The sequence below is a fragment of the Homo sapiens genome, chromosome 2 (genome assembly GCF_000001405.40).
Source record: "Homo sapiens chromosome 2, GRCh38.p14 Primary Assembly".
Taxonomy (NCBI): domain Eukaryota; kingdom Metazoa; phylum Chordata; class Mammalia; order Primates; family Hominidae; genus Homo; species Homo sapiens.
Genome location: NC_000002.12, coordinates 208,541,760 through 208,566,762, shown reverse-complemented (window position 1 = coordinate 208,566,762; position 25,003 = coordinate 208,541,760). Strand labels below are relative to the sequence as shown.

Sequence of the window (25,003 nt, the reverse complement as noted above, 5' to 3'; positions counted from 1 at the left end):
CAGGATCTCAGTCATAGGGCCTCTTCCCTTAACTATCCACATGCACTAATTTCCTTTGGCCCCATACTTTAAAGAGAATGTACTTATTGATGATTTCCAAGTATATATCTCTAGCTTTGATCTCCCTCCTGACCTTCAAACTTAGGTAATCATCTGTCTCCATCAAATGTCCACTTAGACGTCTAATCGGCATTTCAAACTTACTATCTCAAACCTTTAAGAAGTTTCTTCCTTCCCAATTTTCCCCCATCTCCCCATCAATGGCATCTCTGTCTTCCAGAGGCTCAAGCCAAAATCTTTAGGTCATCCCCGACACTTCTCTTTCTCATCTATGCCACACCCAATTTCTTGGCTCTATATACAAAGAATATTCAGAATCCAACCACCTTGCCTGCTACCTCTTTGATCTAAGCCAACATGTCCTCTTGTCCGATTATTTTTCTAGAACCATAACTGATCTGCCTGTTTGCACTTACTCCCTTAAGTATAATCTCAACACAGCAGCCAAGGTGATCCTTTTAGATTATAAGTTAGATCATATCATTTCCTTATCTAACCCTTCCAAATGGCTTTTTATGTAATTCAGAACAAAGTCTTTCACTCTCCTTCTCTACATCCTCACTGGTCTTATTACTGTTCAAAGTACACACCAGGCATGCTCTTACCTCAAGGCCTTTGTACTTGCTTTTTCCTTGGACTGGAAAGATTTTTGCCTTAAAAACCACATAACTTAATCCCTCGTGTTTTTCAGCATGGGTTGAAAACCTGTTATATCATCAGAGAAACCTTTGCTAACTACCAGTTTCTTATCTACCCATCCTCCTCTCTCCCATTTCTCTGCCTTTCTTTTTTTTTTATTTATTTATTTATTTATTTATTTATTTATTTATTTATTTATGACAGAGTATTGTTCTGTTGCCCAGGCTGCAGTGCAGTGGTGCAATCGCGGCTCACTGCAACCTCCGCCTCCTGGGTTCAAGCAATTCTCCCGCCTCAGCCTCCCTAGTAGCTGGAATTACCAGCACGCGTCACTAAGTTTGGCTAATTTTTGTATTTTTAGTAGAGACAGGGTTTCACCATGTTGGCCAGGCTGGTCTTGAACTCCTGACCTCAAGTGATCCACCCACCCTCGCCTCCCAAAGTGCTGGGATTACAGGCGTGAGCCACCGCGTCCAGTCCCTTTCTTTTTTCTTCATAGGCTTATCACCATTTGACACACACAAACTTTTTTAATCTGCTGCTTTGTGATAGAATATAAACTTCATGAGAGCAGAAACTCCTTGCTTTTGTTCACTGTCATATCCCTAACATGCAAAACAGTGCTTGACATATAGTAGTCACTTAAATATATTTTTGGAATGAATGAATCACATAGTATCCCTTTATAAGCATCCAAGAGAGAAATTTTTCTGTGTATACACATTAGCATCACTCTTTCCATTGGCTTCTAGCATTGGAAAGTCAAATTTGGGGTCTCCCTTCAATCTCAATCCCAATTTCATCCCTCCTTTTTATTTTCTTTTATGTCATGACTTTTCTATTAACTTTTTAATTAACTTTCTTTTTACTTTATAATTTTGTAATATTAATTTTTGTTACCTCCCTTTATTCCATCCATTAGGTTTATAAAAGATCAGCAAGCATGTAACATGTTTTATGGTTAATGAATGAGAGAACCATTAAAATCTGTCCATTTTTATTTTGTGATATGCAGAAATTCCAAGAGAACTCTTCAAATCACTCATAAGATCCCTTTAAAAACCTTCCAAAAAATTTTTAAAATAATGAAATTAGAGTTAACTTATGTAATTTGGTTTATTTCTGCAAATATCATGGAAAGACCACTTTTAGGGCAGTGTATCTAAACCCTACAGAAATATCAAATTCCATAAATGATCATTTTTCATTAGCTGGAATAATTGCTAATGGTCTCCTATTAGTATTTTCTGTTAATATATTTTAATAATAATGTCAGAGATAAGAGAAAGGTTTTTTCATGAAGAGACACATACACATTTACATTCCAATATTTAAAAAATTATTTCTAATTAGGCTTTACTTATTATCTGGTATGTTTTGTTTTTATTTCTTGCAGGATAGAGGGTTTTTGGTGGTCGGAGGAGAACATATTTGCAAATATGTTGTTTTGTTATTTTTGAGTGAAAAGAACATTGTATTCATCAAACAACTGGTTATTGACTTGATTCAATATTCCTGCCACATTTCAATCAGTTGATAAATAAACTTCTTTGTAAGTCCTTGAAAATTAGACTTTAATGTGAAATGTATTGAAAATGTGGCTGAAGAACAAACAGTCAAAAGAAGAATTATTCTAGAAGTGGAAGGTAAGTGATCATATAAAACAAGCAAAACAAAAGAGGAAATAAAGAATAATTTTTAAAAAATAAGAATTATTCATCAAACAAGCTCCATGAATGATCACGGACCACACTGTAGTATAAAATTATACTCCTGAGTGTATATGTATGTATATGTGTACACAAAGCAAAATACAATAAATAAATTAGATACATGTTGTATTAGTCAGCTCAGGCTGCCAAAACAAAATACCACAGACTGGGTGCCTTAAGCAATGGAAACTTATTTTCTCACAGTTCTGGAGGCTGAAATTTCAAGATCAGGTTGCCAGCCTGGTTGGGTGCTGGTGAGGGCTCTCTCCCTGGCTGCAGATGGCTGCCTTCTGTCTGTGTCTTCACACAGTGGAGAGAGAGCAAGAATTAGTACCAAGGTAACGGGGCACTGCTGTAAAGATACCCAAAAATGTGGAAGCAACTTTGGAACTAGGCAACAGAAAGAGGTTGGAACCGTTTGGAAGGCTCAGAAGAAGATAGAAAAATGTGGGAAAGTTTGGGACTTCCTAGAGACTTGGAGGGCTCAGGAAACAGTAAGATGTAGGAAAGTTTGGAATTTCCTAGAGACATGTTGAATGGCTTTGACCAAAATGCTGAGAGTGATATGCACAATGAGGTCCAGGCTGAGGTGGTCTCAGATGGAGATGAGAAACTTGTTGGGAACTGGAGTAAATGTCACTCTTGCTATGCTTTAGCAAAGAGACTGATTGCATTTTGCCCCTGTCCTAGAGATCTGTAGGACTTTGAACATGAGAGATGATTTAGGGTATCTGGCAGAATAAATTTCTAAGCAACCAAGCATTCAAGAGGAAGCAGAGCATAAAGTTTGGAAAATTTGCAGCCTGATGATGTGATAGAAAAAAAAAAAAAAAAAAAAAAAAAAACATTTTCTGGGGAGAAATTCAAGTCAACTGCAGAAATTTGCATAAATACTGAGGAGCCAAATGTTAATACCAAGACAAGGGGGACAATGTCTCCAGGGCATGTCAGAGACATTCACAGCTGCCCCTCCCATCACAGGCCCAGAGGCCTAAGAGGGAAAAGTTGTTTCCTGGGCCGGGCCTAGGGGCTTCCTGCTCTATGCAGTCTCAGGACATGGTGCCCTGCATCCTAGCTGCTTCAGCACCAGCCATGGTTAAAAGGGGCCAAGATACATTTCAGGCCATGGCTTCAGAGGGTGCAAGCCATAAGCCTTGGCATCTCCCATGTGGTGTTGAGCCTATGGGTATACAGAAGTCACAAACTGAGGTTTGGGAACCTCTACCTAGATTTCAGAGGATGTATAAAAATGCCTGGATGTCTAGGCAGAAGTTTGCTGCAGGGGCAGAGCCCTCATGGAGAACCTCTGCTAGGGCAGTGTGGAAGGAAAATGTGAAGTTCGAACCCCCACACAGAGTCCCCACTAGGGCACTGCCTAGTAGAGATATGAGAAGAGGGCCACCATCCTCCAGAACACAGAATGGTAGATCCACCAACAGCTTGCACTATGTGCCTGGAAAAGCCACAGGCACCAAACAACAGCCCATGAAAGCAGCTAGGAGGGGACCTGTACCCTGCAAAGCCACAGGGGTGGAGCTGCCCAAGGCCATGGGAACCCACCTCTTGCATCAGCATAACCTGGATGCTGGAGACATGTAGTCAAAGGAGATCATTTTGGAATATTAAGGTTTAATGAATGCCCTATTGGATTTTGGACTTGCATAGGTCCTGTAGCCCCTTTGTTTTGGCCAATTTCTCCCATTTGGAATGAGTGTATTTACCCAATGTCTGTGTTCTCATTGTATCTAAGACGTAACTAACTTGCTTTTGATTTTACAGGCTCATAGGCAGAAGGTACTTGCTTTGTCTCAGCTGAGACTTTGGACTTGGACTTTCGGGTTTATGCCAGAATGAGTTAAGTCTTTGGAGGACTGTTGAAAAGGCATAAATGTGTTTTGAAATGTGAGGACACGAGACTTGGGAGGGGCCAGGGGTGGAATGATATGGTTTGGCTGTGTCCCCACCCAAAATCTCATCTTGAATTATAACCCCTATAATCCCCATAATCTCCACAGCTCAAGGGCAGGTCCAGGTGGAGGTAATTAGATCATGGAAGCAGTTTCCCCCATGCTGTCCTCATGATAGTGAGTCTCATGAGATCTGATGGTTTCCTAAGCATCTGGCATTTCCCCTGCTTGCACTCACTGTGTCCTGCTGCCCTGTGAAGGTGCCTGATTCCCCTTTCCCTTCTGCCATGATTGTAAGTTTCCTTAGGCCTCCCCAGCCATTTGGAACTGTGAGTCAATTAAACCTCTTTCCTTTATAAATTACCCAGTTTCAGGTATTTCTCCATAGCAGTGTGAGAATGGACTAATACAGTAAATATAAACCAATTCTTTTAAGTGAATATAAAGTAAATATAAACCAATACTTATAAGGGCACTAATTCCATTATGGGGGCCCCACACTTATCATCATTTCATCTAACTTTAATAACTGCCCAAAGGCCCCATCTCCAAATACCATCACATTGGGGGTTAGGGTTTCAACATACGAATTTGGGGGTACACATTTAGTTCACAACACATGTTAACTGTGAATTTCTTATTTTATAAATAAAATGTCAAAATTTAACATGTTTATTTCAAAGGTCTTTTAGAACTGTGTTACACTGAGTTTCACTTTGTGATAGCCAGAATTTTAAGAAGGCCCCCATGATGGTTAATACTGAGTGTCAACTTGATTGGATTGAAGGATGCAAAATATTATTCCTGGGTGTGTCTGTGAGGGTATTGCCAAAGGAGATTAACATTTAAGTCAGTGGACTGGGAGAGGTAGACCCACCCTCAATCTGGGTGGGCACATTCTAATCAGCTGCCAGCATGGCTAGAATGAAAGCAGGCAGAAGAACGTGGAAGGACAAGACTGACTGTGTCTTCCGGCCTACATCTTTCTCCTACATCCAGGAAGCTGGATGTTTCCTGCCTTCAACATCAGACTCCAAGTTCTTCAGCTTTTGGACTCTTGGACCTACACCAATGGTTTGCCAAGTGCTCTTGGGTCTTTGGCTACAGACTAAAGGCTGCACTGTCAGTTTCCCTACTTCTGAGGTTTTGGGACTCCGACTGGCTTCCTTGCTCCTCAGCTTGCAGATGGCCTATTGTGGGACTTCACCTTGTAGTTGTGTGAGTCAATGCTCTTCAATAAACTCCCCTTCATATATACATCTATCCTATTTGTCCTGTTCCTCTAGAAAACCCTGACTAATTCAGCCCCCAAGATTCCCACCTACTGTTGTCCTCACCCAGTATAATCCCCTCCCTTTGAGTGTAGGTAGAACCTCTGAACATGGGATTTCACTCCCATGACTAGGTTAGTAATCAGTTGATTTTCAAGTAATAAAAGGCAGATTATCCTGGGTGGGTATGATCTAATCAGAAAAGCCTTTCAAAGAAGGTGAAGTGTCAGAAAGATGCTCTCCTTCTGACCTCTAAAAAGACGTAAACTTCACTGAGTTTTAAAGCTGCAAGGAAATATATACTTTCACATGAACATGGAAGAGGGCTCAGTCTCCAGATAAGAATCCAGGCCCTCCTGCAACACCTTGATTGCAGCCTTGTGAGATGCCCTGAGGCAGAGAACCCAGTGAAGCCATAACTGGATTCCTGATTCTCAGAAACTACGAGATAATGAATGTGTATTTTTTTGTGTGGTTTGGTTTTTGAGATGGAGTCTCGCTCTGTCGCCCAGTCTGGAGTGCAGTGGCACAATCTCAGCTCACTGCAAGCTCCGCCTCCCAGGTTCATGCCATTCTCCTGCCTCAGCCTCCTGAGTAGTTGGCACTACAGTCACCTGACACCATGCCCAGCTAATTTTTTTGTATTTTTAGTAGAGATGGGGTTTACCATGTTAGCGAGGATGGTCTCAATCTCCTGACCTCGTGATCTGCCTGCCTCGGCCTCCCAAAGTGTTGGGATTACAGGCGTAAGCCTCTGCGCCCGGCCATGAATGTGTATTGTTTTAATTCCCTAGATATGTGATAATTTGCTATGAAACAATAGAAATATAATACCTGTGTTGAATTTGAATGTTAATTTGATAAGTGCAGCAGCCTAAAGATGAAGTTAAAATTTTTAACAGGTTATGGTTAGATAAGGGAAAAATAATTAGTATTGTGATAAAAAGTAATTTAAAGTTTAGATCAGCTATTGAATGGCATTCTATATATTTTCTGACTGTTGATTAGGCAAAATAAAAATCATTGGCATATTTCCATTTTAAATTTTTAAATAATTTTTAAATGCTCACAGCAGGTAAAATATTTTAAAAGCCAATTAATAAATCACAATGTCTCTAATGAATTAGTATACCAATAAACTCATTTCTAAATGAATTCAAATTTATCATAGATTTTATTGAATATTGAGAAACAATAAAATAATTATAATAATTTTGTAAAATAGGGTGTCAGGGTAGATACATTTTTCCAGAACTAAAAAAAAAAAAAGAAAAGAAAAAAATAGCTATTTTTGCTAGTAGGAATTCTCTTTTGGTGGACTCTATATTCGGATTCTTACCTGGTGGAGGGTCAACCCAAAATGGCAGGCTTGCCAGACTGAATGAATTACAATCCTAGCTCTGATTTAAAGATTATAACTTTTAACAGGTCTCTCTTCCAACAGAGTTAGTTTTAGAATTAGGTAATTATGCATAATTCCGTGCACGTGACAGACATTACACCATATAAAAGCTTTTACTCTCTAGAGGGCTAGAGTCAGTTAGGATCAACAAGGAAGTTAAATTTGACAGGCTTCCTAGATTCCAGCTGTGAGCTAATCACAGGTATTTTTAAGGGTCCAGCTCTCACATTTGTTAAAATAGTTCTAAGAAATGTCTCCTGCTGAATACATTCATTTTAAGACAGGCTAAGAACCAACGACACACAAAGAAAATTCTAGAGAAGAGACTAGTTATAAAATAGAACTATGACTCTGACTTTCCCATTTTACATTTCCCTTCTTACCTTTGCTCCTTTCCTATCTTCATCGTGGATATTTCTGGTTTGCATGTGAAAATAGTTCTTTATCATTCATTCCCAAGTATATACAGGTACGTGTGTTCCGCAACACTTCATATACTTGTGATTATTTAATTAATCACTTGTAAATATTTACTTATCATCCATCTTCTCCAGGACTCAGCCAGGTCTGCATCTGTAGTATCTGCCACAGTTTCTCCAGTGCCAAGCACAACACCCAGCACAGAGGAGATACTGTATAAAGACTGGTTTATGGACTAGTCTTTTTTGTTTGTTTGTTTTGTTTTAGAGGCAGAGTTTTTGCTCTTGTTGCCCAGGCTGGAGTGCAATGGCGCGATCTCAGCTCACCGCAACTCCGCCTCCCGGGTTCAAGCGATTCTCCTGCCTCAGCCTCCTGAATAGCTGGGGTTACAGGCACGCGCCACCACGCCCGGCTAATTTTGCATTTTTAGTAGAGACGGCGTTTCTCCATGTTGGCCAGGCTGGCCTCAAACTCCCGACCTCAGGTGATCCCCCTGCCTTGGCCTCCCAAAGTGTAGACTAGTCTTTAAGTACTGCTTTTATAAGGTTTGGTTTTCCATTCAGCCTTTCCTCTGATTTCATCTCCATAAAAAATATCGGTTTGGGCGCAGTGGCTCACGCCTGTAATCCCAGCACTTTGAGAGGCCGAGGCGGGCGGAGCACGAGGTCAGGAGATGGAGACCATCCTGGCTAACACGGTGAAACCCTTTCTCTACTAAAAATACAAAAATTAGCCGGGCGAGGTGGCGGGCGCCTGTAGTCCCAGCTACTCCGGAGGCTGAGGCAGGAGAACGGCTTAAACCCGGGAGGCGGAGCTTGCAGTGAGCCGAGATTGCGCCACTGCTCTCCAGCCTGGGCGACAGAGCGAGACTCCGTCTCAAAAAAAAAAAAAAAAAAAAGAAAGAAAGAAAGAAAGAAAGAAAAATATCAGCAAATAAGAAGCATAACAGTGATTTCCACTGGAACTCAAATTTTTCTAGGAGAGTAGTTCTTAACTAGGACCATTTTCTTTAAAATACTAATTCCCAGGTCCTATTAATCAAAATATCTTTGAGAGAGGTGGAGATTGGGATATAAGCAACAGAATGTTTTAAGCCCCAGATGATTTAGCTAGCATTGAGGACTACAGCTCTAAGCTGTGTTTCCCAAACTTTAACGTGCCTAGAATCACCTGGGGTGACGATTAAAAAGTCACATTTCCTAGTCTCATTGTTTAGCGCTAGATTAGATAAATATTTCGGTTCTCCTCTTCCTCCACACCTTTGCCATGTAAGTATGCGGCACCTTTCCACTGTAAATGGGGCATACTCCCCCACTCCCTGATTTCTTTTGAGCCACATGACCTGGCCTGCTTTGGCTCATAGGATGTTACCAGATGCGGCAGAGGCACAGGCTTGAAAAGCACTTGTGTGATCAAGTCTGCACGCTGGCACCTCTGCTATTACTGAAACTGCCTTTGCAAAAAATTATAACAGTGGGAAAATTATGACAGTGAAAGAGATCTGATCTAACCAATCTTCATCTTGCCTTTAAACTCCAAACTGCCCTTGGTCATTCCTGGGCTTGGGCCAAGCTAACTGTAAGAGAAATTTAATTTATAGTTTAAATGATAACAGCTCTACCCCAAAATTAAACCACCTTTGTAAAACTAATGAAAGATCACCAGTTTAGGAGAATGAGAGGAGCCGGAATTCTGCTAAGATGTAGACGCAAATGATTACCAGGCATTACCCCAGATGTCACAAGATTCGCAACTTACTCCCAATTACTCCTGCAGATAACATCACTATTGTAGAACCCAAGATTGGCCTTTTGAAATGTCTTTTCAAGTTTTTGCATTTCTGATGACTGACTAGCCCCATTCAGGCCCAAGACTTGACTCAACTAGTTCTGTGGCCCCCATCCAGAAGTGGACTCAGTTCACAAGGACCGTTCTCCACGCCCCTGTGATTGCATTCCCTAACATCAGCAACACCCATTTCTTTGCTTGCCAAACTATCCCTGAAAAACCCTGGCCTCTTAATTTCCAGAGAGATTGATTTGAGTAATAAACTCCAGTCCCCCGTTCAGCCAGCTGTGTGAATTAAACTCTTTCTCTATTGCAATTATCCTGTCTTGATAAATCAGCTCTATCCAGGAAGCAGGCAAGATGAACCCATTGGGCAGTTATATTATCATAAGAACAACATGCCTGGTTTAGCAAGCAGGCCTCAGGAGAAGAATGGGACACTGGAGCAGAGCCAAGTTAGTCCAGCCAAACCCAACCTTAATCAGCCACATCTCCTCCACCCCCAACCCCAGTGGGTGATAAAGCCCAGCCAAATCATCAGAGCTGCCAGCCAGTTAGCTTAGATCAGATGGTCCCTGTCAACCTGCAGATATGTAAGCAAAATGCTGCCTGAAATTTATTGTTCATTTGTAATGTAAGTAATAGATAATCAATATAATCTACACAAGAAACTCTGATTTGGTGACTACTTTCGACTGGTTTCCTTTGTTTACGATTGATAGAAAGCTAACCCAAACTCCCTTAAAAATAAAAGAAAATGTTCCGAATTACAAAATGAATAAAAAAGGGAGTCAACACAGCTCCAGGAATGACAGATTCCAAGTATTTAGATGGTACTGTAGGTAATTTGACTCTCCAACAGAGATGCAGCTGGAGGCTGTCATCCTAAGTGAATTAACACAAACAGAAAACCAAATACCACATGTTCTCACTTATAAGTGGGAGCTAAACATTGGGTGCTTGTGGACACAAAGATGAAAACAATAGAAACTGAGGACTACTATGGGGGGAGGAAAGAAGGAAAACAAGGGTTGAAAAGCTAACTATTTGAGTACTATGCTCAGTATCTGGGTGATGGGATAAATCATAACCCAAACTTCAGCATCATGCAATATACTCAGGTAACAAGTCAGCACAGATACCCCCTGAATCTAAAATAAAGGTTGAAATTATTAAAAAGAAAAAGAAAGAAAGAAAGAAAGAGGAACGAAGAAAGAAAGAATCTCTCTGCACCTCTCTGTGTTGGCTTTCTTCTTATGGAGGATCTCTATAAGTGACGAAAAAGATGGCCACCAGGAGCTCCAGGTTTGAATTCTACCAAATATGCCATGCTAGGGAAAAGAAAATACTACTTTCAAGAGAGCTTTAAGAGAAGTCCAAATGCTATAATTTTCATTGGTTCTGAATCACCTAACAATTTCAGAACCGATTATTACAACTCTGATTAACCAGGCTAGTGTATTATGCCCATTCCTTAAGCTGGTGTGGCATTATTCAAAACAAGCCACATGGACTGAGTGTAGGAGGGCTGGTTCTGAAAAAAAAAAAAAAAAAATCTAGGTGCTGTTACCGAAAGGAGAAACAAATGCTGAGCAGTCAAAGTTAAGGGGTCCACAGCAGTAAGTCTTGAAGTCTTGGTTGGGGATAGCACACCAGGTGGTTCTACTTTGTGGAACTCCAGGAGCGTATTTTTAAAGATCATTATATAATGGATAGGATACTCCTACTTTTAGGAATACTCAGAAGAGGCATAATGTAGCCAGTTTAAAACAAAATCACAAACTGTTTTATATGCCAAATTCATTAAGAAATCCTGGGAGTAATGATTAAAGATTTTATGATTTTATGGGATTTTATGATTCAGGTGTTGGGATGCTCTAAATTCTTATTTCTTGGTCATGTCTTAGGCTTTAGAGAGTTTATGTTTGTTTGTTGTTTTGTTTTTGTTTTGTCTTATTTTTTATTTGTTCTTGATTAGTTTTCGTGGACAGAGAGAGGATGGTGAGCCTCTTTATTATCCTGACCACTAACATGTAGTTTTGCTACATTTGGTAGGGCAGCTTGTTTCTCTCTCCTTGACTCAGAATAACCACAAGTTGAAAATCAAGCACTAATGCCATTCAGAATGGAATTTCTATTGAAAGACCCATGGGTTGAAATCCTGGAGTCACAAGCCTAACATACTAGTTCATTTCTTCATTCACTGGAGAGACTAGTTCTTCTGTTTCAATAAAAGGGTAAAACAAAAAAGAAGCAAAGAATAAACAACTCTCAGGTTAGATTAAATTCAATTAATAAATGGCTTCTCCACAGCAAACCCACGTTGCCCAGCAACAGCATTCACTTCCCTCCAGTTCTATTTTCTTCATTTCAAACCTAGACACCAACCTAACTTTCTTCCTATCAAATGTCACTCAATCAAACCTTCTCTTGAATTGTACTTTTAAGTAAATGATGTCTCATTTAAGATTAAATAAAACAGAAAATTTTGAAACAATTTTTACGATGCTTTTTAAAACAAAAAATAAATGAGACAATATAAATATCAGTGATTCACCTAAAATTATTATTCTCTAGAGCAATGACACAATGTTTCATCAAAAGTCCTTTTAACAGTTGAGTGGAACTAAACAGTGCTATATTCATTGTCATAACTGATAGGCAGCTGGGGCTATGGGACAGGTACAAGCTGCCAGATTCATGATTTATCTCTACTGTTGCATATTATTGATCAAAAGAGAATCATGGAGTCGACTCAGGTTTGAGGGAAAGGGATTACACAAGGCTCAATTAACAGGAGTCAATACATAGTCATTTTCAAAAATATGGAACAGTAGACATATAGCAGATACTATTCCATAGCAATTCTGAAACCTAAATGGACATATGTCACTAATTCCTCTAATGGACCCCTGTTCTGCTGCCTAAGAGTGGTTTTTCATGGTTCTTTGCTTGACCCTTGGCTCCTGGCTTTGAACTCTGAGTTATTCTTCCTTTTCCATAAAAGATGGCCCACACTTCCAACTAAGTAACTGTCTGTCTACATTTCTTCCTGACAGTTGAGGTTCCAGAGGCCTCTGTTACTTTGCACCCATTAAGGTGATTGCTTGTGTTATAAAGTTCTAAGGATTCTGACAAATGGATAGTGTTATTTGTCCACCATTAAAATACCATACAGAATAGTTTCACCATCTCAACAAATCTCCTATGCCTCACCTATTTAATCCCGCCTACTCCACACACCCCTGGCAACCATGGATTTGCTTATTTTGTCTCCATAATTTTGTCTTTTCTAGAATGCCATATATATGGAATCCTTTTCAAACTGTTTTTTTACTTAGCAATATGTACTTTTTTACTTAGCAACATGCACTTAATATGCATTTAAGTATTTATCATAATTTTACATGACTTGATAGCTCATTCATTTTTGGAATGACTAGTATTCCATTATAGGATATACCACAGTTTGGTTATCCACTCATCTACTGAATGAGATCTTGATTGATTCCAGTTTTTGGTGATTATCATAAAGCTTCTATAAACATCCACATGCAGGTTTTTGTGTGAATGTAGGTTTTTCAGATCATTAGGGTAAATAGCTAGGAGCACAATTGATAAATCATATGGCAACACAAAGTTTAGCTTTGTAAAAACTGCCAACTCTCTTGCAAAGCAGCTATAACGTTTTGCACTCCCACCAGCAATGAAAGACAGTTCCCATTGCTCTGCATCCTCACATGCAATTGATATTATCATGTTTCTTAGATTTTAGCCATTCTAATAGGTGTAGAATTGTATATCATTGTGGTTTTAATTTTTATTTCCCTATTAACAAGTAATGTTGAACATCTTTTCATATGCTTACTTGCCATCTATATATCTTCTTCAGAGAGGTGTCTTTTCAGAACATTTTCCTATTTAAAAAATTGGGTTTTTTATTTTTATGTTGTCAAGTTTAAGAGTTTGTTGTACATTTCGGATACAAGTCCTTCAGCAGATATGAGTTTTAGAAGTATTTTTTTTCCTGTCTGAGTTAAAAGACAACTACATGAATGTCAGCAAAAATGATGAAATAGGAAGCCCTGGAGTCCTCTTTCCCCCATGAACACACCATGGAATGTGTGTTCAATAATGAAACACAGATTTCTTTGGTGAAAAATCCAGAAACTGGTTGAGTGGCTCCCATGCCCTAAACAAGTGTGAAACCAGCCACATTGAATCCAGTAGGGAAATTTGAGATAGCTGCTCACCATAATTCCTATGCTCTCCTGAGCAAAATATGATCAGGAAAAAAACTCCCAAAATCCCTGCTTCACTCTGAGAAGGGAAAGAGACCATACATCAAACACTGCAACTTCCCTGCATAGTCTTCAGAAGACTGGCTTTGGCTTGTGTTTCTTGGAGTGCTGACAGGAACTGACATACTCTAGCTGCCTGGTGACTGGTGATATCAGAGATAGTAGTTTGAGAGGACAATCACCATAGCCTATATCCTCAGGCACATAGAGCAAGCAAACAAAAAGGTACACCTCCCAGCTTTCCGCTGAAGGGAGAAAGAGTTGGATCACACATCCATTGCTCCAACTTTTCCAGCAGGTGCACAAAGGGCTTACTTCTGTATTACCTATTTTGGAGTACTGATGTATCCAGCATACTCTAGCCACCTAGGGTCCAGTGAGATTAGAGATGGTGGCTCAAGCTAGCAGTAATAATATTCCCTCCCCATGGCTCAGCACATAGTAAGTGGATTAAAAATCTCAGCTCTCAACTTTTTCCCGGAGAGAGAAGGAGATGGTCTACGTACCCAACATCCCAAATTTTCCAGGAGCTGTCTGAGGAACTGACTTCAGTCTCACTTGGCTGGACACACTGATGGGACCCAACATACCTTTGACTCCTGGGAGATGCTAAGAACAAAGAGCAAGTTGAACTAACATGAAGATACAAACATCCCCAGGATCTCTGGTTGGGTTGATTGGTGACTTCTCCTATACAAGTCCAGTTCATAAAGACTGGGAGAAGTCATAAAGAGTATGTATTAGAGATATATCTAATGTGCAGATAACAACACAAAGTGTCAAAGAAAATGAAGAAATAGAAAAATATTTCCCCAAAAAAGGAACAAAATAAATCTTCTGAAACCAACCCCAATGAAATGGAAATATACAATTCATCATATAGAGAATTCAAAACAATGGCCATAAAGGTGCTCAAAGAGATCATGAGAGCAATGCATGAACAAAGTAAAAATCTTAATAAAGAGAAAATAGTTTTAAATATCAAAAATCTTGGAACTAAAGTATACAATAACTTAATAAAAAAATTTACTAGAGGGGGTTCAACAGCAGACTAGAACGAGCAGAAGAAAAAAATCAGTGAGACTGAAGACAGCTTATTGGAAATTATCCAGTCAGAGAAGCAAAAAGAAAAAAAGGATTTGAAAGTATAAATAAATCTCAATGGGCTTATGGGACACCATTAGTGGATCAATATTTGCATTTAGGGACACCCAGAAGTAAAAGGTATGGGGGAAAGATTATGTTTAAATAAATAACAGCTGAAAATTCCCCAAATGTGCGGGAGGTGGGGAATGTACATCCAGATCCAGGAGGCCCAATATATCTTATATAAGAAGAAGCCAAAGAAATCCACACCAAGACACATTATATCAAATTGTCGAAAGTCAGACAAAGAGAGAATTCTGAAACCAGCAAATAAAAAATGATTTGTCACATATAAGGAAATATCAGTAAGACTATTAGTGGATTTCTTGCAAAACTTTGCAAGCCAGAAAAGAGTGAAATGATATTTTTCAAATGCTGAAAGAAAAAACTGCCAACCAACTGTCCTTCAAAATGAAAGAGATACTTTCCCAAACAAAATCTGGGGGAGGTCATCACCACTAGACATAAATGGATAAAGAAAAGATGATCTGGATGGCTGGGTATGGTGGCTCATGCCTGTAATCCTAGCACTTTGGGAGGCCAAGGCAGGCAGATCATGAGGTCAGGAGTTCAAGACCAGCCTGGCCAATGTGGTGAAACCCTGTCTCTACTAAAAAATACAAAAATTAGCTGGGTGTGGTGGTGGGCACCTGTAATCCCAGCTACTCGGGAGGCTGAGACAGGAGAATTGCTTGTACCTGGGAGGTGGAGGTTGCGCTGAGCTGAGATCTCACCACTGCACTCCAGCCTGGGCAACAGAGCAAGACTTCGTCTTTAAAAAAAAAAAAAAAAAACATGATCTGGGCTGGGCACGGTGGCTCACACCTGTAATCCCAGCACTTTGAGAGGCCAAGACATGTGGATCACGAGGTCAGGAGATCAAGACCATCTCCTGGCCAACATGGTGAAACCCTGTCTCTACTAAAAATACAAAAATTAGTTGGGTGTGGTGGTGGGTGCCTGTAATTCCAGCTACTCGGGAGGCTGAGCCAGGAGAATCACTTGAACCCGGGAGGTGGAGAATGCAGTGAGCCGAGATTGCGCTACTGTACTCCAGCCTGGTGACAGAGCAAGACTGTATCTAGGAAAGAAGAAAGGAAAGAAAGAGAGGAGAGGAGAGGAGGAAAGGCAGAAAAAGAAAGAAAGAAGGAAAGAAAGAAAGAAAGAGAGAGAGAGGGAGGGAGGGAGGGAAGGAAGGAAGGAAGGAAAGAATCTGTACATACAATGAAATATTACTCAGCCTTAAAAAATAGAGAAATCCTGCATTATGTGACAACATGGTTGGACCTAGAGGACATTATGCTAAGGGAAATAAGCCATTTACAGAAAGATAAATACTGTATGATCTCACATATGTGAAACCTAAAATAGTTAAACTTGTAGAAGCAGAGAGTAGAATGGTGGTTGCCAGTGGCTGGCGGGGAGGGAAAATTGGAAGTTGCTATTTAAAGATATAAGGTTTCATTTATGCATAATGAATGAGTTTTAGAGATTTGCTGTACAATATTATACATATAGTTAACATTACTGTATTGTACATTTAAAATTTGTTAAATATAAAAATATGTTAAATTTAAAACACAACAGAAGAAGGCAATTATAAACACTAGTTTATAAGCCTAAATGTTAAAGATATAGCGGGTATAAAATTAGTAGCACAAGTGAGGAGGAAATTGAGCTATATTTGAGCAAACATTTTATATATTATTGAAATAAAGTTGATGTTAAACTGAGCTAGATTGTTTTAAGTTGGGATTTTAATTATAACCACCATAGCAATCACCTAGAAAATAACTAAAAATATATATAGTAAAAGAAACAAGGGGACTCAATGAAATATAAATCCTCTGTATAATACCAAAAAAGGCAAAAATAGAGAAACATTGGAACAACGAAGATATAAGACATATAGAAAACAAATAGCACAATGGCAGACATGAATCCTGCCTACTGCATGTATGATGGTGGTCCCATAAGATTATAATATATTTTTACTGTGCCATTTCTATGTTTATGTTTAGATAGACAAATACCTATCATTGTGTTATAATTGCCTACAGTATTCAGTAGAGGAACAGGCTGTACAGGTTTATAGCCTAGGAGCAATAGGCTATACCATACAACCTAGGTGTGCAGTACACTATACCATCTAGTTTTGTGTGAGTATGCTCTATGATATTCACACAAGGACGATTGCCTAACAATGCATTTCTCAGAATATATTGTTGTCAGTTGATGCATAACTGCATGTTACCTTGTGTTGAAAGACAGTATGGTATAGTGTTTAACAGCACATTTTATGAATTTAGACTGGTTTGTATTCTTCTGGCTGTGTGTTATAGAGAAGGATTACTGACCTCTCTGTTCCTCATTTTTTCTAATCAGTAAGACAAAAATAATGATGATACCTATTTCATGGGGTTGTTGGTGAATTTAGAAAGTTAAATTTGAAAACTTTGAACAGAGACTGACATACAGTATGCCCTTAATAAAAGTTTTCTACTCCTAGTTACCTATTATTAAGCCCTGAATTAGGGTTCTCCAGAGAAATACACACACACACACACACACACACACACACACACACACACTCCACACATCTGAAGAGACTTATTATAAGGAATTATAAGGAATTATGGAGGTTAAGTCCCAAGATCTACAGGGTGAGTTAATAAGTAGGAAATGCAGGAAAGCCAGTGATGTAGCTCCAGTCTGAAGGTTAGGAGGCTTGAAATTGAGGAAGCGCCAATGTTTCAGTTCATCTGAAGGAAGGAAGAATTATCTCTTACTCTGTGGAAAGGTCAGCTTCTTTGCGCTATTCGAGACTTCAGTTGATTGGATGAGACCCACTCACATTAGAGAGGACAATCAGCTTTACTCCAATCTCTCTGATTAAAATATTAATCTCACCCAAAACACCCTCACAGAAACACCTAGAATAATGTTTGACCAAATATATGGGCACCCCATAGCCAGTCAAGTTGAAATATACAATTAACCATCACAAGACCTTGGACTGACCTTTACTTTGAGCAAAAATAGAACTACTCCTCCATTTATCAGAGAGACTTCTCCCCAGTCACTCTGCTGAGGTTTCTTTCCTGTTAGTAGACAACTTTTTTATAGGATCTCTTCGGTTTCTGCACAGCTTACAAGCAGAGGCACTGACATTTTGTTCTAGGATATCTTTTCAAAGATTCTGCATGGCAAACAGCCTTGGAAGATAAGATAATGTCTCCATCTGGACCACAGGGCTGATATGCCTACTGTTTGTTATAAAAGATTTGAGCTGGGCCAGGCTCAATGGTGCACGCCTGTAATCCCAGCACTTTGGGAGGCTGAGGTGGGTGGATCACCTGGGGCTGGGAGTTCGAGACCAGACTGACTTACATGGTAAGACCCCATCTTTACTAAATACAAAAAAAAAAAAAATTAGCCGAGTGTGGTGGCACATGCCTGTGATCCCAGCTACTCGGGAGGCTGAGGCAGGAGAATCTCTTGAATCCGAGAGGCAGAGGTTGCAGTGAGCCAAGATCACCCCATTGCACTCCAGCTTGGGCAACAAGAGTGAAACTCCATCTCAAAGAAAAAAAAAAGATGTGAGCTTAGGCTCAGGGTTCTCCTCCTGTGATGCAACCTCCTGGTATGCAGGCTTTCATCTGGGCTCATACACATCACCCCTCTGGGGCTTGGGGCTTGGGGCTTGGGGCTTGGAGGCAAGGGGAACTGATGCAAATATTTTGATATCATAATAATAAAGTCCTTTGTCTCTGCCTCAAGAGGCTCCTGTTTATGATAGCAGCCATGAAACTGGCAGGCCACCTTGTCAGCTTGCAAGTAGGATAAAATCTCATCTTTCACAGTTTTTTAAATTCTCTTTTTAAAAATTTACATTCTCACTCTTTTTTCCCAGCCTCTACAACCATGGAATATGACTACCCACATTAGTGAATCACCCCTTCTGAAGTAGATTTTCCTTTTCTTAATCTATGTACTTTTACAGGCACCATCTTATCCCTCTGGGGTCACTGATGATCTACGTCTACAAACTTAGTGTTATGTAGGTTCTGAGCCAATTCCAGACTTGAATAGAAGGATGTAGCAGCTTCAGGCCATTATATAAACATTTATTTAAATGATATTTTAACCATTTAAATATTCAGAGGAAAAGAACTTTGCTCCTTTTAGAAACGACTAACCCTTCCAAAAACTAGCTAGATATTATAAAAAAGATGTTTTTATCATACATGAAAGATAAAAAGGAATAAAAATATAATTATTTACTTTGTAAGTATAAATCATAAGTGCTGAATAAGAGAAAATCATCATGAGGACACTGGTATATTGCAATGATGACCCCAACTCTTCATACCCACTATCTTTCATATTCACTCCAGTTGCCATATGACTTTGTAGTTCCTCTTGCCAAATAGGCTAAACATACTCCTTGAGTGCGTTCTGTCCTTATGCCTTTCTATGACCTTGTCTATTCATGATTATAAATATTGGGTCAATAAATCATTAGTCTAGATTTGAACTATTTATGTTACTCAAAAACACAAAGATTCCGAAGCCCTTGTCTTCAAGAATCTATGTTACACAGTGTGAAACTTTCCCTGGGCTCTTAGAATGATTCATTTCCCTTTCTTTTTTTTCTTCCCTGAAGGAAACAAAGCACAGAGAACTTTGACTCAAATTTTGAATCATATAGTGAATTGATTAATGAGAAATCATTGCCTTTGGCATAGAAACTCACTGGTCACGTAGGTATCAAACACTTAAGAGGTAAAATGGATATCAATGTCTTGGGATATGCAGCCTGGCTTACTTTCCTAGATAAGAAGTAATACCTGCATCTCTGTTTTGTAAGGAAGTATAAATGATAAAAGAAAATCAAATGTATCCAAAAAAGTAATTTCTAAAAATCCACTGATGGGGATAATAGCATTGTTGATTTCAAAATTGGCCCGTAAGTATTTCCTCTCTGCTCTATCCAAACTCCAGTGTAAATGAATAACCTTGACCAACCCCTTTTATAAAAAGCTTATGATGTTTACTAGTAGAAAGTCCCAATCTATAAAATGTCTCTTAGACACCTAGATTGTTTCATGTACATAAACCTACAATTTTTTGGATTCGTGGAGTCTGTCTGGCTGGAGAATGTGGTAGCCATGTAAGCTGTGTGATTAGTGAAGTATAGAATGGAGGTGCTCCAAAGCAGAATATCTCTTTCTGGGAACAATGTTTCTGTATACATTTCTCAAGGGTTCTAAAATCAAAACAGGTAAAGCAGAAAAAAGAGGACACTGGGGACACTGAGTCTTATGGTTTCAGGATCCTCTAGGAAATGAACATTTCATCAATGCCCAACCAGTTAATTATTATAAAATGTGATATTGGGTAAGCTGACATTTCATATGACTTTTCTTTGACAATTAACATGTCATATTGACATGCAAAACAATTTAAGAAATACAAAATAATGAAATATAAGTTTCAGCACTACTCAAAGTATCATGTAAACATGTCTCAAGGTCCACCAGGAAAAAGGTACACTTTTCCTGTCTCTTTGGGGGATGCAGCCAGTTAAAACTTTCCTTTTCCAATTTTATAAATTTTGATTGCACATAACATGAAAATAATTAGTGACAAAAACAGCAACATAAATCAAGGAAAAACATTCTACATCACATTTGGTAGTGGTCTAACAGAAATTGTGTTTGATCAACACAAAATTAACTAACAAGGTTTTTAAATTATCATCATTGTAAAGCATGTAATTAATGTCAGTGAGTAATTGCAATTTTATCTAATGTAAACAACATGTAAGATAGTGAGGTACTTTATGAGTAACAGAGGTCAATGGTAGAGAGAAAGATTTATATTTAAAGTCTTTGAGATGATAAAAACATAAGAGTAAATTAAATCCCAAAAAGGTCCAGCATTTTGGTATTTTAATTACTGGTAAATACTTATGTTTGTAAAAAGCAGCGGTGTCTTAGTTTTTCAAAATATATTTTGTTTGGGAGAAAAACTAAAGGTAATACAAAAAAACTCCCTCTAGATTGGTAATCAAGAGACCTGGAGATTTTACTCCTGCCTTAGCTGCACACAAAATGTATGTTCTTAGATGGGTTTTTGCCTTAAATTGGGTTCCCCCAGAATCAAACCCTGAGAAAAGTATTTGCAGGCAAATTGTTTATTAGAGGGGATCCCAGGAAGCACTTCTAGGGGCGTGGGGAAGTGTGATAGGGAAGGGAAGGAAGACAACAGAGGGGGCGTTATTAAGCAGGTTACTCCCCTGTGCAAATGGGGTCAATCCTGCTGAGGAATTTTGGTAGACTGTGTAGAACACACCTTGGAGTTTATTCTACCAGGCAGGCAAAGAAGCTGGGGTATGTATTCACCAGCTTCTGTCTTTGCTTAAGTCCTGCTCCTGGGGTGAGTTTACTCCCCAGCGCTCCCAGCAGTCAGAAAAAGCCTGCAAGCAAACAATCGCAGGTGCCTCCAGCTGGAAGCCATGTGATTACTGTACACAGGAAAGGGTACTCCAGAGGAGACATAGGCAGGCAACTGACAGCCTCTGCTACAGGTTTTTTACTTCTGTGGTCAGTTTCCTCACCTGTAATGTAGTAGTGGTATTGCTGAGTGTACCTACTTTTCAGTTAATGTGAGGATAAATATGATGCATGTAAAAGATGTTTATAAAGTTTTGACTTGAAATTCACATTAAATAGCACATGCAATATTAATAAAAAACAGCTAGATAATTCCTAGATCTCTTTCATGTTTGCATTATATGATTCATTGCTTTTCCCATAAACTCCAGACAGCTAGGACTGGTATAACCTGAAGAATAATACAAACTAAATTGAAAAGGTATGTATATGATTCTTACTGATAGGGTTTTAAATTTTATATTAGTAATCCATCTTTTACATGTGACATCTGGAAACATTTAACTGCTACATCCTGGTCAAATGGAAGCTATCTATATGTTTGTGATTTATTCCCATCATTTTAAACAAAAAAAAATTTTTTTAATCTGTATCAAAGAGATTGGTATCTTGAGTTGCCTTTCTGTTGCTTATGTGACATTTAATAATTGTCTGGAAATACATTATTTATTCCTAATCAGAACACTTTCATCTCTACCACAGATATTTGCAGTCTCCCTGAATTTTGACACATAGTTTTTTGGTAAGTAATCTACCTTATAATATACCTATGGTGTCAGCAACTGACGGGTTTTAGGATTCTGAATCTCTAGGCAAACACGCTGAAAATTAGGGTTTAGTCATGGCAGTTTTAGCTTCTTTTCTATCAAAATAGACTATTTTTATTTATTTAAACAAACAAGAAGACAAAATATATATTACTGTTGCATGTATTTGTTTTTACCTCTAACTTTAAGTAGAAATGATGGCTCCTTTGCCATTTTCCTATTACATTTTTATTTTTTACTTGATTCTTTCTTGAAGTGCTTTGGATTTTTTTGTATATTCAGAAATATATAAAATTAATTATAAGAATTACTTGTCTTTAGTATGAGTTGCCAATATTCACTTTCTGCTTCATCATCGATCATGCAGTACAGATTACTTTTGTAATAGAGAAAATTAGCCTTTACTTTGAGTCGTTCTGGCCTTTATATCAGTTAGAAAGACCTTTTTTACTTTGAATAATAAAAAAATTCCCCACATGCTTTAACTTTTTAAATAATTATTTGATCAATTTTGACTTTATTCTAGTATAACATATGACACAGGAATCCTATATTTGCATTGTTACCCAGAGTCATAGTTTTAAAGTTTGTTCCTTTTTATCTGATGGTTGAATACACAATTATTCATGTAAAAGTAACACAGTAAAAGGGATGCTGTTTTCACAGCCTTCATGTCTCCCATCTTTGCTTCAACAGTGTTATGATTATGAAACCTATGCAATTAATCATTAGTATTAACACAGCCATCTTTTACCATTTTCTAGTCATTCATTTTCACTGAATACTAAGGTGAAATGAACTAAAACATTCAAAACCATTGCTTCAGCAGTAGTATTATAATGCCGGCACTCTTAATTATTCTCAGGCAGATGCAACTCTAATTCTAAAAGTACACAGGAAAGTGTTTCAAATGAACTATAAGTGCAATAAAACAAAACTCTGGGATTCTGTTAAATATAAGTAATTCCTCCACATCAGAGAGAAATGAGTTTCCCACATTTCTTTGAAGTTGACACATCTCGGGCAAATCTAATGATTGAATAAAGATACTTCTTACACTGCCCAAAGTATCTGTGTGTTGGGAATTTCTTGCTTCCTACCAAGCTTGCTTTGTTTCTACTTCCCTCTGTGTTACTTCCCAGTTCTTATATCTAGATAGCAACTCTACCAATGCCTCTGAACATTGTTTTTGTGATATACAATCTCCATATTAAATGTAGGATTTGAAGTTCTGAGATGACTCACACATCTTTAATTCCACATTGAGATGGGCTTCACCATTTCTCCCCAACCCTATAAAAGAAGCTTTTCTGGGGAATTTAAACTTTAGCCTAGATGATAACAGATAAAATCCGGAAATAGTCCTACCAAACCAGAGAGAGAAAAGGGAGAGGCAGAGACGGTCTCGGCCACCATTTTGTCTTCCAGTCAGAAATAGAGTCAGAGTTTTTGACTGAGCTCCTTCTCATATTGGTTCCACAGTCTCTAAAACACTCATCTTTTTCCAAGTTTTCTTCTGAACAATCACCTCTACTTGAATTGAACTAGTGAGTTTGTATTAAATTTAGTCTTTCTCTTCAAAAAATTAATGAATGGAAAAATAAACATAAAGAAATAAACTGTCACTACATGTGGGCATTGTAAGAAACTGCCCATGGAGATGTATTGCAATATCTTGGTGAGACAGTTTTCATAAAAGAATAGTCATAGAAATACAGCCAAATTTCTAATACAACATGTTTTTGAAAATCTGATCATCAGTGTGATGGCTAATATTAGGTGTCAACTTGATTGGATTGAAGGATGCCTAGATAGCTGGTATTGTTTCTAGGTATGTCTGTGAGGGTGTTGCCAGAGGAGATCAACATTTGAGTCAGTGGACTGGGAGAGGAAGACTCACCCTCAATGTGAGTGTGCACCATCCAACTGGCTGCCAGCTCAGCTACAACAAAGTAGGCAGAAGAAAGTGAGATGAGCTGGCTTGCTGAGTCTTCTGGCTTTCTTCTTTGTCCCGTGCTGGATGCTTCCTGCCCTTGGTCATCAGACTCCAGGTTCTTCAGCTTCTGGACTCTTGGACTTACACCAGTGGTTTTCCAGGGGCTCTCAGGCCTTCAGCCACAGACTGAAGGCTATACTATCAGCTTCCCTGCTTTTGAGGCTTCTGAACTCTGACTGAGCCACTATTGGCTTCCTTCTTCCTCAGCTTGCAGACAGCATATCATGGGACTTCACCTTGTAATCATGTGAGTCAGCTCTCCTCAAGAAACTCCCCTTCATATATACATATGCCCTATTAGTTTTATCCCTCTGGAGAACTCTGACTAATAATCCAGAAATAATTAATAGTGTTAAACATTTACATGGAGGAATAAGCTGTCCAAAATGTTTTCCATTAGTTTTCCATTAATTGCAGAGTTAACAGACTGGAAAATTTACCTCTGCTTCTTACGTGAGGTCATTGAATGTAGTAAGTTGGTGCAAAGGTAATTGCAGTTTTTGTAGTTAAAAGTAAGGCAAAAACCACAGTTACTTTTGCATCAACCTAATATTTAGGAATAGTGTTGAAACTATGCCCCAAAGAGTTAAACACACCAACGACTAACAGAAATTCTTGAGTTTGCAGGATGATAGATAAGAAAAGAAAGAACTTGCAAAACCACTGAAACTGTGTCTGCTTGCAAGATAACACAACTAGCTAAAATTGGTTGCAATCAATATGGCCAACTAGATTCTGCACAGAACCAGCTTGCTGATGTCACAACCCGAATTTGCACTGCATGTTTCATACTAACTCCTCCCCAAATTTGCACATGTTATCCATGAGGTAGTGTGAAGAGATAACTGAGCATGCCCAAGGATTTTCCAGACCTCCCTTTCCTTCCACCAATCACCTATTAATCCCAGATTCCACCACCTAAATCTTGTCTAATCAAATTACTGCCTTAAAGACAGCACAGGGAATAAATTTGAGCTGGATTCCTGTCTCCTTGTTGGCCAGATTTCAATAGAAGGCTTTATTTTTCCCAAAAATCCTGGTGTCATAGTATTGGCTTCTAGCGCGTGTGGCAGCAAGCTGGTTAGGCTCTGTAACAGTGTAGGGATAGAAGTTTGTTCCTAGCTGATAAGAAAACA

General features: G+C 38.7%; 1 long non-coding RNA gene across 1 annotated transcript in view; it reads right to left on the bottom strand.

The window, feature by feature from the left end:
• The window catches only part of LOC101927960 (uncharacterized), a 282,946-nt gene extending 258,825 nt beyond the window's left edge, over positions 1-24,121 (bottom strand). Inside the window, exon 1 of the long non-coding RNA NR_136588.1 lies at positions 23,772-24,121. This is a non-coding gene — a long non-coding RNA (uncharacterized LOC101927960). The remainder of the gene's footprint in view (positions 1-23,771) is intronic.
• Positions 24,122-25,003: the final 882 nt, after the last annotated feature.